This window comes from Homo sapiens, chromosome 8, assembly GCF_000001405.40.
Source record: "Homo sapiens chromosome 8, GRCh38.p14 Primary Assembly".
NCBI lineage: Eukaryota > Metazoa > Chordata > Mammalia > Primates > Hominidae > Homo > Homo sapiens.
Window position 1 is genome coordinate 19,172,246 of NC_000008.11, and position 16,217 is coordinate 19,188,462.

Consider the following 16,217-nt stretch of genomic DNA (forward strand, 5'->3'; position numbering starts at 1 on the left):
ATGAAAATGATTACTGCTTAAGTATAAAATGGGAGAATACAGAAAAAAGGCAGTAAAATAACAGAAAAAGGCCGGGCACAGCGGCTCACACCTGTAATCCCAGCACTTTGGGAGACCGAGGCAGGCGGATCAATTGAGGTCAGGAGTTTGAGACCAGCCTGGGCTACATGTTGAAACTCTGTCCCTACCAAAAATACAAAAAGGAAAAATTATCTGGGCATGATGGAGATTGCTTGTAGTCCCAACTACTCAGGAGGCTGAGGCAGGAGAATCACTTGAACCTGGGAGGCAGAGGTTGCAGTGACCCGTAATTGGGCCATTGCACTCCAGCCTTGGCCAACGTGGGAGCCTCCTGCTCCGGGAAAGGAAGGGAAGGGGAGGAAAGGGGAGGGGGAGGGGAAGGGGAGAGGAGAGGGAGGGGAGGGGGAGGGGAAGGGGAGGGAACGGGGATGGGGAGGGGACGGGGAGGGGGGAGAAGGGACGGGAGGGGAGAGGGGGAGGGGACGGGGAGGGGAGGGAATCTATAATCCCACTGCCTCTAAACAACCACTATTAACATATTGTCATGTTTTATGCCTTTACCCTGGCATAAAGTAGTTTGTTCTGTGTCTCTCTTCTCTCTTTATGCCATTCTTTCTCTGTCTCTTTTTTGTCTCCTCTCCCCATATGTTCTGCAAGAAGTCTTTATCTTTCAACCAGAGGCCACTGAGTTAATTTTCACTCACAGAGAGGCCAGAGAGGTAAAAGGGGAAGTACGTACAGCAGGATCCACATTCCTGAAAAGTCCATATCTGGCCGTGGCCTTGCATCTCCACAGGCCCTCCCAGACCCCACCAGACCTAGAATCTCCATCAAGTTACTTCTGTTAAAAGAAAAACCTTAGACAAATTAAATTTAACACAGGTTAATTGAGCAAAGAATGATTCACAAATCGGGCAGCCCCCAAACAAGAACAGGTTCAGAGAGGCTTCATCACAGCCACATGGTCCCAGAAAATTCATGGACAGGAAAAGGAAAGCGATGGAAGGAAAAAGGAAGTGAGGTACAGAAACAGGCGGATTGGCTACAGCTTGCCATTTGCCTTATTGGAACACAGTTTGAACAGTTGGCTACCTCTGGCCGAAACTGTGACTGGCACAAGAGGAGGGTACAGGCTCTTTACACATCCAGTTAGGTTACAATTCACTATGTACAGAGACACTTTAGGCCAAACTTAAAATATGTAAAGAGGCAGCTTTAGGCTAAACTTAACACTTCTTAATTGCCCACAACTGCCTACGTAGAGGGCCACTGACAATTATCTATGGGCAGCGCTGAAAGCAATGGATGGGACACAGAAGGACATATTTTATAGGCATCACCACTTTCTCCATGGCTTTTGTTTTTTTTTTGAGATGGAGACTTGCTCTATCGCCCAGGCTCAAGTGATGTGGCACGATCTTGGCTCACTGCAACCTCTGCTTCCCGGCTTCAAGTGATTCTCCTGTCTCAGCCTGCCGAGTAGCTGAGAGTACAGGACCATGCCACCACGCGCAGCTAATTTTTCGTATTTTTTTTTTAGTAGAGATGAGGTTTCACCACGTTAGCCAGGCTGGTCTTGATCTCCTGACCTCGTGATCCGCCCGCCTCAGTCTCCCAAAGTGCTGGGATTACAGGTGTGAGCCACTGCGCCCAGCCTTTCCATGGCTTTTTGGCCCAAGATGAGCTCCACAAGTTCTAAGTGTTGTATCCAACCCCACCCCCACTCTGCCAGTATCTCTTAAACTACCCTATCTTGATAGTTGAATTTCTTTTTCTATTGGTGTGGCAGAGATGGTTATAGCTTAGCAAATATTCCATTCGCTAGTCAACCATCCCAGCTCTTCTGTGGTTAGGTAAGACCATGTGACAAAAGCTTTCTTCCCTTCCTGACTTGAGGCCTGTACTCCATCCAGATGGTGCAGCTACAAGACAGCCTGTCAAGGGTCCATGTGGAGCAAAGACTGACCCACATGGGACATGGAGTGTGTGAGGGAGAGAAAGAGACTTCTGTTGAGCTTTTGAGGTGTGCGGTTTGTTTATTATTGAGGTACACTCTAGCATATTTTGACAAATGCAATTGGAGAGGCCCTTAGATGGTGCTATACTCTGATTTTTAAATCTCCCTAAAATATGGATGTGATCATATTATTTTCTTGTTGAAATATCATCAAGAGCTAGCCATTATCTAAATGATGAAACCTAAATGCCTTACCCTTGCAGGTAATCTGGTCCCACCATTAATCTGGTGTTCTGCGTCTAGCCTATATCCTAAATTGCAGCCACATTGACTCCTAAGCTATTTCCCAAACACTGGTTTTCGAATATCCCAGTCCTTTAAATGGTAGTGATAGGTGTGGTACATGCTGTTCTGTCTGCTGAGATGGCCCTGGCTGCGGTTCTCCGCTTGGCATAGTCTCACAGATCCTACAAAACCCAGCTCATATGTGATACATGTGAAGTGGTACCCAACTCCAGAAGATATTGTCAGCTCCCTCTCCCATGTTGCCACAGGGCTTGGCAGGGTCTTTCCATCAGAAAGTCTCCTACCACATGAGGCATTTACATGTCCATTATTCCAGCCAGATGGTCAGGTTCTTAAAAATGGTGTCATATCCTATTCTTTACTAGCACAATACCAGGTACGTAGATATGTATATGCATTCCCTGTTATCCTAGAGCTGTGGCCGCAAGGGATGGATTAAGAGGGGTATTAGCCCCTCCATGGTATCTGTCAGTCTACCCTCACAAGTCTTTGGTATATTCAACCGATGTTTCTCAAACAGAATGTTTTATAGACCAGCTTTAAGACAAGTCCTTTGCCTCCTCTTCTCCCTACACCCAGAATGTCACCCCAAATATCTCCTGCATCAAAGTTTTAGAGCCCATACTGAGTAGCACTAACAATGTCTGACATAATAGGTGTTCAACAAAAATGTGCTGATGATAAAAAGACTACTAGTTCATGGTTACAGAGCATTTACTATGTGCTAAGCAATAAACTAAGCATTTATACCCATTATTTTATCCAGTCCTTAAGAAAACCCTATGAGGTGGGACATTATTAAAATCCTCATGTTACATCTGAAGAAACTCAAACTGGTTAAGTGTGCCCGGGTTGACATGGTGGGTAAATGACAGAGCGAAGATGTGAACCCAGGCTCTCCACCTTTAGGCCTTTGTGTTAATTAAAGAATGAATGCTCACAGTTTATATTTTTCTGTTTTGAGACAGAGTCTCACTATTTCACCCAAGCTGGAGTGCAGTGGCACGATCTTGGCTCACTGCAACTTCCACCTCCCAGGTTCAAGCGATTCTTGTGCCTCACCCTCCCAGGCAGCTGGGATTACAGGTGTCTGCTACCATGCATGGCTAATTTCTGTGTTTTTAGTAGACATGGGGTTTCACCATGTTGGCCAGGCTGGTCTTGAACTCCTGAGCTCAAGTGATCCACCCTCCTTGGCCTCCCAAAGTGCTGGGATTACAGGCGTGAGTCACTGCGCCCAGTCCAGAGTTGATTCTTATGATCCCAAACAGTAACATTCAAGTATGAAAATGACCTCCCGGGGAAAAAAAAATTGACTCAATAGTCAGGTCTCTAAAGACAGTGAGATGGACCTGAAATAATCTTTTTGTAAGAGGCACGTTTGCCATTTTATACTACAGGGCCAGCGTGATGCTAGGACGTTGCATGTCCAGCCTGTAGCTCCCAGTGGTAAAAGCTCTTTTTGTTTACAAAACTGGATCTAGTCCCAGTTCTGCTACTCACTACTTGAGTGAACTTGAACCAAGTTATTTAACCTCTCTCTTTCCCCATTTCCCCAAGAGAAAATTGGGGAAACACTAGCCCTATCTCATAGCGTGTGAGGATTGTGTGGGCTGATGCACGTAAGACACTTAACAGAGGCCTGGTACATTTTTACTGCTTAATAAATGTTGACTATATTTATCACATAATCATTACAACAGGACAAAACTCCTTGTCAGTATCAGCTGCCATCTCTGATATATCTGTGAACCTAGGATTTCTCTCCATGAGCTGAGAACCAAGCCATGCTCAATGGAGGAAACTCACATTAGAAGTCCGGACCTAAGTCAGTTCTCGGCTGTGCTATTAATTTATGAGAGGGCTCAAGCAAAATAGCGTGATCTTTCAGGGCCTGGGTCTCTGTCTCTGGGCAATGCAGATAATGATGTACCAGTCACTAGCAGTGAGCCGTATACGTAGACAGTGTCTTAAAGTTGCTCTATATGACCATGCCAGCAGTGGCCACATAGATCAGTGACTAATGGTCATGCTAAAAATTTTTGACTTTAAGTCAGGTATGTAAACTAATGAACGCTATGTGGAATGGGTTAAGTTTTGGGTTTTGTTTTTTTGTTCTGTTGTTGTTGTTGTTGTTGTTGTTTGTTGTTGTTTTGAGGCAGAGTTTTACTCCGTCACCCAGGCGGGAGTGCAGTAGTGCAATCCGGGCTCACCGCAACTTCTGCCTCCGGGGTTCAAGTTATTCTAGTGCCTCAGCCTCCTGAGTAGCTGGGTCTACAGGTGCGCACCTCCACGCCCGGCTAATTTTTGTATTTTTAGGAGAGACGAGGATTCGCCTTGTCGGCCAGACTGACCTTGAACTCCTGGCCTCAGGTGATCCACCCGCCTTGGCCTCCCAAAGTGCTGGGATTAGAGGCGTGAGCCACTGCACTCGGCCAGATTAAGTATTTTTAATGATAAATTGACATAACACTTAGGGAAAAATCCACATTTAAGTGATAAGAAAAAACGTTTAAAATGCTCAGAAACAGAAGGGCCCAGGAGGACATAATGAGCTTTTAATTACTTAGCTACTGTTCATTCCAATTGAGATCAATTACGTATGCTTTTAGTTACATTTAGAAGCATTTTCCTGTTTAAGAAGCCTATCTATCAGAGAGAGAGAGAAAAGGTAAGATTCATAAATTCCACCTACTTAATTTTTTAGGAGAGCTCTTGGAAACAAAAAGTCAGAGTGAAATAAGAGTTGTGCTGCTTCAAATGGAATTTAGGAATACTGAGCAATGTAGGTGGTCCCCGCTGGTATGATGCAATGCGTTTCTAGAAACCAGAGCATGAGAGGAATCCTTATAAGGCCCGCCAAGCAGCTGCTCTTGCATTTGTTTGCACCCGGCCACAGGGTAATCCTTAATTTCCCAGGCCATTCTTGATCCAAAGCACAGTGGTAACAAGAAAACCCTCTATTTTTCAGGCAACGCCAGAGGTGAGGACGTGCTTATCAAAGTGTGGGAGTCATTTTTGTGTTTTTGATTCCTGAGACCCCCAGTGGAACACCACACTCTCTGAAAGGGGTGTTATGGCACAGCGTGGAGTGTAGAGGCTTTGAAGCAACACGGATCTGGGCTCCAATTCAGATTGCACTCCTTGCTGCGTGATGTCAGGCAAATTACTCAGCTGTCCTGAGCTTTTCTGGAGTTGTCTGTAAATTCAGGGTAATGACACCTAAACTGCGGTTTGTTCTGAGGCTCGGTGAGTTGTCAGAACTCAATATCAAGAACTCAGAACAAAATATCAAGTGGGTGCCGGGACACCCTCATTGGCCTTCAGTAAAGCTAGTTATGTCCTCAGTGGCCCCTCTTTTCCCTCATGTGCTTTGGACGTCTCCTCTATAGTCTTGTAACCTTTGCTCAGGGTGCCCCCTTTAAGAGCCTGTGGCTCAGCTGCTTGGTCACCAGCTCTCACTGCTGCCCCAGTGTTGCTACTCTTGCCCGGCTACCCCTCTGAGGGCGCCAACGAGCTACACTTTTCTGATCATCTTCATCACGTGTGGCTCCTCAAGTGACACAGGAGACACGTGCAGGCCCAGAAGTCAGCCTGGTCCCTGCATTGAATTTAGCTCATTATTCGCTTACACCCCTTTGGCAAAGTTTGAACAACTTTATAATGGGCAAACTGTTTCACCACATTTGCATCCATTAAAGAAAAATCCAAGTTGGCATATGTGTTTAAAACACACAAACTACTATACCTGCACTGTCCAATGTGGTAACCATGAGCCACATGTGAAAATTGATCCAACGAACTGGGCCATTCTGGGCATATCCAAGTAAAGCAGAGTTGAGAGGCCAAGGGGAGAAAGCACTCAGGAAATACCACTTGGCTCCAAGAATGTAATTCCCTGCAAGCCAGGCTGCTGAAACTGCCTTCTGTAACTGGAAACCAGTTTTATCTGACAGCTACTGAAACAACTTGCTACAGCTCTAAGACTACTTTTACCCACCACCGTAGTCTGTCACCAATCAGAACTTGTCAGCTTCCCAGAACTTGCCTGGTGCCAATGAACTTTTTTTCAAAACAATACATAGCATTTCTCCTTTCTATAAAATCTCCAACCTTCTCTTTGTTCTTCAGACAGAATGAGGACCACTGGTCTGTGTATATGCCCTGAATTGCAATTCTTGCTTCCCAAGTAAAATGTTTTAAATTTAGAGATTCATTTCTATATTTTATTTGACTTCAACAGATATTTAAAATGTGGCTGGTGAGAAGTGACATGCCTTGAAATAAAATACACACTGAATTTTGTGCAAAATACAATTAAATGTAATCATTAAATATACTTTAATTATTTAACTATATTTTTATTGATTATATAAAATGTATCATTAAAATTAATTTCAACTGTTTTATTTTATTTTATTTTATTTTATTTTACTTATTTTTTTGAGACAGAGTTTCACTCTGTCTCCAAGACTGGAGTGCAGTGGCGTGATCTTGGTTTACGGCAACCTCTGCCACATGGGTTCAAATGAGTCTCCTACCTCAGCCTCCTGAGTAGCTGGGATTACAGGCATGCAGCAGCATGCCCAGCTAATTTTTGTATTTTTAGTGAAGAGGGGGTTTTGCCACATTGGCCAGGCTGGTCTTGAACTCCTGACCTTAGAAGATCTGCCTGCTTCAACCTCCCAAAGTTCTAGGATTACAGGCGTAAGCCACTGTGCCCGGCCCTATTTCTTTCTTTAATTCTTTTTATTCATCTTAATGTGACTAGAAGAAAGTTTTAATGGTGGCTCACATTAAATTTCTATTATACTAGACAAATCCCAAAAGCAAACATATTAACTATTTTAGAAATACTGCAGTAATCAACAGCTTCAGTACTGTGGAGACAGGTTTTTCTTGGAAGAGATTACGGAATGTAATTATTCATGTTTTGAAAGAGTGCTTGCAGCCTTTTGTATTTGCCTTTCATAATGGCTATGTCATCATATGATTGACTACTTGTTTACCTTTATCGATTATATTCGCAGATAGATGATTTTCAATTGGCAAAAAAAGTTAAAAACCATGCATAAGGTTTTCTGTCAAAAAAGTAATGCACGATTATCACCAACTTATAAGTATTTGTCATATCCAATGTAGATTTACAATAATGGAGTAGTATCTGGTTTACTGATTTGATTGTCTAACTCATTTTGTATACAATTCCCAGTTACTTGGTCACTATTGTATAAGCTATTTTGGATACATACGTAACTTTGTTTTAAAATGCCTAATTGCTCACTCAAGAATGAATCACCTTCAGTAGCTGGCTAAATGATTCCTATGAAATTTCAATTATTTGAAGAAAGCCAGTCTTCACTGTGACATCAGAAAAACAAAGCTTCCACTAAAAAAGATTAATAAACATAACTCTTTTTAGCAATCAAAATAATACTATGTTTCTTTGTCTGGTCTTTAAGACATTGGCCTAGTACATTTTTATTTGTTCAATATGTGATCCAAGTAAACATAGCCATCTTATGCTTTATGACTTTTGAAGGTTCTCAACGTATTCACCCAATCTAAAAACTGACCTGATACAGACATCTGTCTCATTGAAAACCACTTACAAACAAAAATAATACAGGCTGTCTTGGAATAGGCCAGCCAGAATATCACCATAGTTTGATCATCTTTAGTTTTTTTTCCAGAATACCTATTTTTAAAACTTCTTTTCAAAAATTGCCTGTGTGTTCTGTTTAATTTTCTGTATTATTGGGATAATAATTTTGGAGGGAAAAACCTACTACATTTTCATTAAATGGTGTAACAAGCTGTAAAGGGAGATCACAGTATTTGTCAAGGTCAGTGAATTTGTCAAATGAAGCTGCTATTGGCTTCTGCGTATTGTTTGACTGAACAAATTGTGTTTTACTTCACTTTTATTTTAATATTTAATATTCTGGTATTTTTCTTTCCCATTTAAGAGTGTCCTGACCATCATCATCTTTTTAAATTCTTCTGTGTCATTTTGATTACCTATATATTCTTGCCATTCTTAACTTTTTTCTGTATCCTCATGAGTTTTAACCAGCAGAGTTTTTGTTTGTTTGTTTGTTTTGGTTTTTCAAGTTTCTACTGTGACATATAGGAGAGTTTGTGACATTTTCAATTCTGTCAGTCTTCTCCCTTTCAGTTTACAGTTTGAGCTTCCACTAGGCTATTTCTTTCTTATTATTTGAATTTTAACATGAACATAAATCTGAAGAAATATCCCAAATTCATCTGAAATTAAGGCATACGGAAGAGCAATTTTAATGCATTTAAATCGTTACAATGTTGCATGGTTGTATGAAGCTGCATTACTGTTTAATCAAATCTTCTTCTATATACCTTGTCTAATTATGAATGATGGAGCTCAGGAGTTTTTATCAGTGGATCATTTGTGTCAGTAACTATTTTGCACACTGTTTCCTCTGGAACCACCAGACTTTGTTAAGACAAGATAAATTAAGATATTCGGAGATGCAACGCAACGTGCTGAGTTGCCTAAGGCATATGACTTTTTTTTTTTTTTTTTTTTTTTTTTTTTTTTGGAGACAGAGTCTCACTCTGTCACTCAGGCTGGAGTGCAGTGGTGTGATTTTGGCTCACTGCAATCTCCTCCTCCTGGGTTCAAGCAGTTCTGCTTCAGTCTCCCGAGTAGCCAGGCTAATTTTTTTGTATTTTTAGTAGAGACAGAGTTTCATCATGTTAGCCAGGCTGGTCTCGAACTCCTGGCTTCAAGTGTTCCATCCGCCTTGGCCTCCCAAAGTGCTGAGATTAAAGGCATGGGCCACCACACCCGGCCATAAGGCATATAACTTTGCACACGAACTCACTCCCTGTTTGTAGTACTGGCATAGGTCTGTGCTCTACACACTTGAGAAGCCTGAACAAGTCATTTCACTGATGTCCATTAACAAAGAAAATATTGTACAGGACTTTTATTGTTTTAGACAGTGGATGATGGTGTCTACTGACAGGAGAGCTCTTCCGTTTTGAGCAGGTGTTTTGAAAACAGAATCCTCTGCTTAGCTTTGTACGTGTCTGATGATAGGGAGAATTTTCCACAGACCAGTTTTGGTCTGCACATGTTTATCCTAGCTTCTCTTCCACTATCCAGCCGTACAGTGCCAGTACACAGGCCACGTCCTGATCACGGTATGACCTGGCCCTGTACAATCACATCACTGTAGGGCAGGTCAGCACGGGGGCCTCAGGAGTATTCCTGGAATCTACTCCATACTGGGACAGCTAGCAGTAACTTAACCCGACACAACAGTGACTGTGAACCTCACAAATATATCCCATGAAACCCAGCTAACTGGATCTTCCATTTAACTTCCTCTTAGATGGAGCCTCAAAGCCCCCATGATCTCCAAACACACTCAAGGCAAGAAGAAGAAGGATGGAGGGAAGGCAGAAGTGGACAGAGGTGTTGAGCAAGCATATTTAAGATATCTCTAAAAAAATTGTTTGCATATAAGAACATCAGACCATGTGAGCATATTGCTAAGCCCTTCCCTGGGGTCTTGGGAAAGGCCCATGCAACTGAAGGGCCCCGAAGTGGAAGCTTTACCAGCTGCACAGCAAGTCAGCTTCTAATTTATTTCAACACCAAGCCAGGGTTCCAGGACATGGCTCCCATATCTCCATTCTCTTCTGTGTCAAGGTCCGTTCCATGCCCACCAACTGGGCTCCTTATCCAGATGTGGGGACTTGTGGCCTCCCCTTTATTCAGGAGTGTTCAGCAGAACTAAGATGCCCTATTATCAAGTCCTTCCTCATTCTCAATTTCTCCCAGATGATCTGCTGCATCTTCATGAAAACCTGCCTCCTCCTCAGACAAGGCCTCCTCAACTGTACTCGCTACTTCTCATTGTCTTGGTTCATTGCTGTGAATTATGGAAGAAACTATCTTTGAGTCAGTAAAGAATATGAAAAGTTAAACAAGTTTTATTAGGCAAAATTCAAAGTGGCAGTGAATGGGAATCAAGAATATACACAAACTTTGCATGTTGACAGTGATAGAAAAACGTCCTAGTGTAGGATGCTATGGTAATTATAGCATGGATCACCTGGAACTGATTCCGGAAAGAGTATCAAAACATTAGAGTCGATGATGTAAGACAAGCCCAGGAGAATTTTTAACCCAGTTGTGACTTACAAATCCAGAAGAATTTTTAGCTCAGTTTGGGTGGGGATGTGACAGCTGCCTCTCAATAATTGTTACGTGTACCTACAAGGACGGAGTGAATAATGTAGCTGGGCACAAAGCAATCTAAATTAAACCAAGTAAGTTAAATTAAGTAAAAGATAATGAGAGCCAGATGTTGTGAAACTCCGTTAGGCTATGGAAATATCCCGAAAGAGATGCAAGTAACATCATTACTCAGAACCAAGAAAATAGTATTATCACGGAATGTGTTATGAGTAACTTCAGGATGCTTCTTCCAGGGGACTAACTGGAGGCCCAACACGTTTCCTGTTTCTCTTGCCAAATGCCACAATTCTGTGATCCTTGTTTACCCAATGCCAAATTATGAGGACAAATTTCTTCATTAATATAATACTTAAAAACAAAGACTATTGCCTAAAGAGTTCAATCACTTAAAGCCCTACTTTTTTTAAAAAATGTGTCATCTCATAGAATAACTGAATTTCCCAAAAAATCCAATTAATTTGGATGCTGTACAATGAAGCCTGTTAAACTGGAAAGAAAGAGACAAGAGCAGGGAAGACAGGTTTCATCTAGTAAGCTTACTGTAATTAATTAATAGCATTTGCTTGGGGCTGTGAGTGGAGAAGGGTTTTGAGGAAAATAATATCATGATCCATCAGTGATGTCTGCCATGGTATGTGATAAGCCAGCAACAACTTGTCTGCCATTTGCAAAACTCTCTTAGACCAGAGCTAGAGGTCAGCTAACCACAGACTCATCAGAATCCAAGAGGCCCCAGGCAGTGTAGACACAGCCCTGGAGCTGAGGCTTTCTGCTCCTCCCTTAAAAGATTCCACCAGTGGCAAAGAAACCAGGAAGCCATGTTTAAGGGCCCACTATCTTAGGCTATGAGAGTCATGACTGTACCCTCTGGCTTTTGAGAATGCTCTTGGAGGCAATTTTGCACAACTGTGTCATTTTAATCGTGAGGAAGCTGAGGCCAGAGAAGCTATTTCACTCACCTGTGGCCATAAGACAACTTAGAGGGAGAGTTGGGACTAGAACCAAGGCCCCCTGGCTCCCAGACCTGTGACATGAAGTTCTATGGGAACAGCCGGTCCCTTTCCTGCTCCTGCTCTGCAGCACTCTCCCAGGTCCTGGGTAGCCACATGATGCTAGTCTTAGAGCTGTGTGGATGCTTGTCAACCTCTGACCTCTTGTTGCCCACCAACTTCGAAGGTTGTACTCCTGCTTCCTTTTGGGGTCTGTGGTCAGTCTTCTCTTGTTCTTCAGGATCAGTGACTCATTGGACACCTTAATTCAGGAGATAACAACAATGGTAGCTCCTGAAATGCCCCACGAAAGCTCAGGTGGACTATAGTGTTCCTCCTGACGTAAGCCATAAAACAAAACATGCTTGACCTGGGTATAGAGAACCCTGAATGAGCTTCAATATTCCTTTTTGGTTTGTTAGTAACAAGAGCCAGCCAAGGGCAGATATGAGTCAGACTATGGTGTCACGTACATCCCAGGCTGACCTTGAACTTGCTCTGCCTGTTAGAGGCCCAGGGACAGCAAAGAGAAGCTTCCCCTGCCTTGTTCTGGGCATGATCACTTTGCAGAGGACAATCTAATCCTTTCAACTTGACTTGTTTTCATTTGTGATTTTTTTTTTCCCTCTTCCTATCAAGGCTCCTAAGGACATCTGACAGCCTGATGACAACCACCTTAAGGTTCATCAAGACCCAGACAAAACAGAATTTCACATCAGCAGAAAGCCGAGCACCTCCTGTCTTCTTTCCAGGACTGACATGTTTAGTCATACACCCTTCTAAGTTTTCTTCTTGGTTTTACTTACTTGTGTGGTATGGCCAGGGGCCAAGGCCAGGGAGATGCTCAGCAGGTTGCCCCAGTGGGAGGGGTTTGATGCTGCCCCGCTTTTCTCCTCCTGCAAGGACATAAACCATTCCTGGTGCAAAGCTGCAGACATTGTTTTCTTAATACATGAAGTAGCTTTGGCTTGACTGCAAGGACAGTGTTGCTCTGGCAATAACTGGTATTGTATCAAATGAACATGAAACTCAATACAGCAGCGTGGTCTTCTCCATCTTTGGCCCATTTATACCTGGTGTTCCATTATTGGAACACTAAAAATGTGGGAGTCATTTATATCCTACTGCTCAAGGTCATTGCCAAGGTCTGATTTGCAAAAATTCAAAAAATTGCAACCTCAGGCATAAATGGGTTAGAGCCTCTTATTTTCAGAGTTCCTGAGCAAACGGCAACTATTCTTCCAAAGCTTGTTGGATTTGCACGTATACACCCAGGCCTCTGTGAAGGGGTCTGTGTTACTGCGTTGTTATCCAATAGTCAAAAAGGATACATCCAGCTTCTCATGTAAAGCATTTATCATAGTACCTGGCACATGGTAAGCATTTAGTAGAGTTAACCATTCATATAATTATTATAACTTTTGTTGTGTAAGTAGCACCATGCTGTAATGTGCAGTACTATATGGCTTAGTCTTAATAAGAGCTGGCATACTGTAGAAGTTTATAGCTATTAAATAATTTTCAATCATAATTCCACTTAATCCTCAGAAAAATAGCTTAAATTGCACCTCTACATACAATTTTCTCCATTGGGTCCCCATCTATTCCTTCTGTGAACTACCACAGCGCTGAATTTGCTTCTGTTTGTTCCCTCTCCCCCACTTAACACACACAGCCCTGGGAACCCTCTCCTCCTCTGCTCTGCTCTCAGCCCCAGGAAGTGACATCCCCCAGGCTCCCCTGCCAGCTGGGAGGCACCAGCCGGAGATTAGAGATGTAGTAGTCAGGGTTGTTCAGAGAAACAAAACTAGTATGAAGAGATGTATTAAAAGGAATTGGTTCATTTGATTATGGAGGCTGACAGGTCCCAAGATCTGCACGGTAATTCAACAAGCTGGAACCCCAGGAGAGCTGATGGTGGATTTCCAGGCTGAGGGCTGGCAGCTTAGAGACCCAGGAAGAGCCAATATCTCAGTTCAACTCCAAAGGTAGTAAAAATGTTGATGTTTCAGCTCAAAGGTCATCGGGCAGGAAGAATATTTTTTTTCTTGGAGGAGGGTCCAACTTTTTGTTCTTTTCAGGCCTTTGACTGATTGGATGAGGTCTGCTCACATAAGAAAAGGCAACCTTCTAGGGTCGGGCACGGTGGCTCACGCCTGTAATCCCAGCACGTTGGGAGGCCGAGACAGGAGGATCATGAGGTCAGGAGATCAAGACCATCCTGGCTAACACAGTGAAACCCCGTCTCTACTAAAAAAATACAAAAATTCAGCCAGACGTGGTGGTGGGTGCCTGTAGTCCCAGCTACTCGGGAGGCTGAGGCAGGAGAATGGCGTGAACCCAGGAGGTGGAGCTTGCAGTGAGCGGAGATCGTGCCACTGCATTCCAGCCTGAGCAACAGAGTGAGACTACGTCTCAAAAAAAAAAAAAAAAAAAAAAAAAGAAAGAAAAAGAAAAGGCAACCTTCTTTGCTCAGTTACCAATATAAATGTTAATCACATCCAAAAACACCCTCCCAGAAATACTCAGATTAATGTTTAACCAAATATCTGGGCACCTTACGGCCCAGTCAGGTTAGTGCATAAAATTAGCCATCACAGAGGGTAAAGGAGAGAAAGATCTCAGCATTTCTTTCCTTCTGCCTCCCTGCTTTGGGCGCAGCATCTCCGAAAGCTGACATGTTTCTCTGGGATGACAGATCCAGTGGAACAGCCCCCACTGCAGGCTCCAGCTCTATTTACTCATTTCGTACCATCGTAATAGCTCCCTTTCTTATTAATCTTTGGGCACCTGAGTAACCTTTATTGATTCTTTAACCCAGGACACACCAGAATGATCCCATCCTTCAAGCCTCTTCATCTGAGTCTTTGGGGTGAATGTTGTTTCCTCCTGAGATTCAAAGAGACAGAGCAGTATTCATCTTTCTCTCCATTTTATAATTATAGTAGAAATACATGTTGATTGCGGAAGCTTTTGTAACTAAAGAATACGTTTTTAAAAATCAACCCGAATCCTACCAAAAGGAGATCACCGTTATTGACCCGTTATCTCCCACTGGTGTGTGTGTGATGGAGGAACCTTATAAAAATAGCTTGCTGTTGTCGTCTGTCTCATTTCTTTAAACATTCTTCAAGAATGTAATTTTTAATGGCTGCTTGTTGTTCTATGATATTTATAACTCTCTTGTGGCACTTGGATTATAAAATATTTTCTGCCCCTAGAAGATACTCACAGAAGGCAATTTGCCATTCAGCTAGCTTTGTACTTTGCACATTAATGTCATTTATTCAAAACCACATCATGCACCCCACCCTGTCAAAGACAATAAATGGTTTACAGACATAAATAAAATATAGCAAGAGAACATACACTTAATGTATGTAAAAGAGTAAAAGAGAAAATAAGCATCAGCATAGTAAAAGGAGATGGAGCCAAGACAGGTTAAAATCCACTAACGCATGCCAAGAATCTTATACTCTTATTAGAAGTTGGCCACAAACTTGGCTGTAAGTCCATTCAAAGAGGAAAACATTAGTAGTTATTCAATCACAGTTTCCATAAAATAAAAACAATCCAGTTACTTGGGAGTAGTCTTAGCAAATGGCATAATGTAGTCTTCAACAATATCCTTACTGCCAAGGCCGAGAGGGGATTTTTATGGAGCTGTTTCTTTTAAAGTCTGCCTATATAAGCCGAGGGTATTGTGCCAAACTGCAAGTCAGGAAAAGCAATTCTACCAGGGCCCTGGGGAGATACATTCTTGGTACATAGCTCTTCATCTGGCTTAAGCTAGGAGTCGAATTCAGAGACTGTAGACAAAAGGATGGTTTGCATATTCTTCAGGAAAATCTCCATGCTGGCTCTCTTTACAATATCTATAGATCTATACCTACTATATTAAGTAGCAGAGTTCTGGCTCCAGCAATGTGGTTATTTGAACTAAACTGGACTCCATCCCTTCTAGAAACATTTAAAGTATCACAGAAAATTATAAACACATAATCAAAATTGAAAGAACAAATGAACAGTCTCCAGGTCTCAGCAACAGCAAGAAAGGTCTCAGGTAGAGGGATTAGGCTTACCAGCCACCTCTCCTGGCCCAGGGGGACATGGAACCGCAATACAGATCCAAAAGGGTGAAATTTTAATACGTCAAGAGGGGAATTTGGTGTGATCTCGGGCCTCTGCAAAGTAGGGAATTGAGACTGGAAAGTTCTGTACGCAGCTAAGTCCCTGGAAAGAAGGAGTAGAAAAGCTATTATTAGCCCATCACTGATTAGGGCTCTGATTTAAAAGAAAAACATCAGATAAACAAACAAACAAAAATTATCCTACAGAAATGAAACCCCAATTTCAAGACACTTGTAATTGTAGAGCCCTGATTTACCCAATCATAGCTGCAAAATTAACATAAATATGGTTCCCAAACCAGTGAAACCCACAGAACATTTGGCAAAAGGGAATGCAAAACAAATCTGTAGTGACATTTCCCCTGCCCAGGCTCCTGGGACAACCACAGGAACAAACGACTTCAGCTGAGGATGAGCTCACAGTAAAAAACTTACAAACCACAAGACAAACAAAAAACTGAATCACGTAAGGGAAGTCAGCAGATACAAAAATACAGAAAAATAGGTGCTCCCCACCAAATTGAAATATTTGGGATGTTGGGGATGTTGGAGGTGGTGGGATTCCC

At 42.5% G+C, this 16,217-nt stretch overlaps 1 long non-coding RNA gene across 1 annotated transcript in view, besides 1 other annotated feature; it reads right to left on the reverse strand.

Moving 5' to 3' along the window:
* Positions 5,009-5,938: an enhancer, noted in NCBI's record as "H3K27ac hESC enhancer chr8:19034764-19035693 (GRCh37/hg19 assembly coordinates)". NCBI's record gives its function as "activates a minimal SCP1, AML or CMV promoter by ChIP-STARR-seq in primed H9 embryonic stem cells {active_cell/tissue: H9 hESC(primed)}" and the evidence as "EXISTENCE:reporter gene assay evidence [ECO:0000049][PMID:30033119]".
* LOC100128993 (uncharacterized) overlaps positions 11,429-16,217 on the reverse strand; it is a 61,849-nt gene continuing 57,060 nt past the window's right edge. The window contains exons 4-5 of the long non-coding RNA NR_038919.1: positions 12,328-12,417; positions 11,429-11,783 (exon numbers count right to left, since the gene is read on the reverse strand). This is a non-coding gene — a long non-coding RNA (uncharacterized LOC100128993). The remainder of the gene's footprint in view (positions 11,784-12,327; positions 12,418-16,217) is intronic.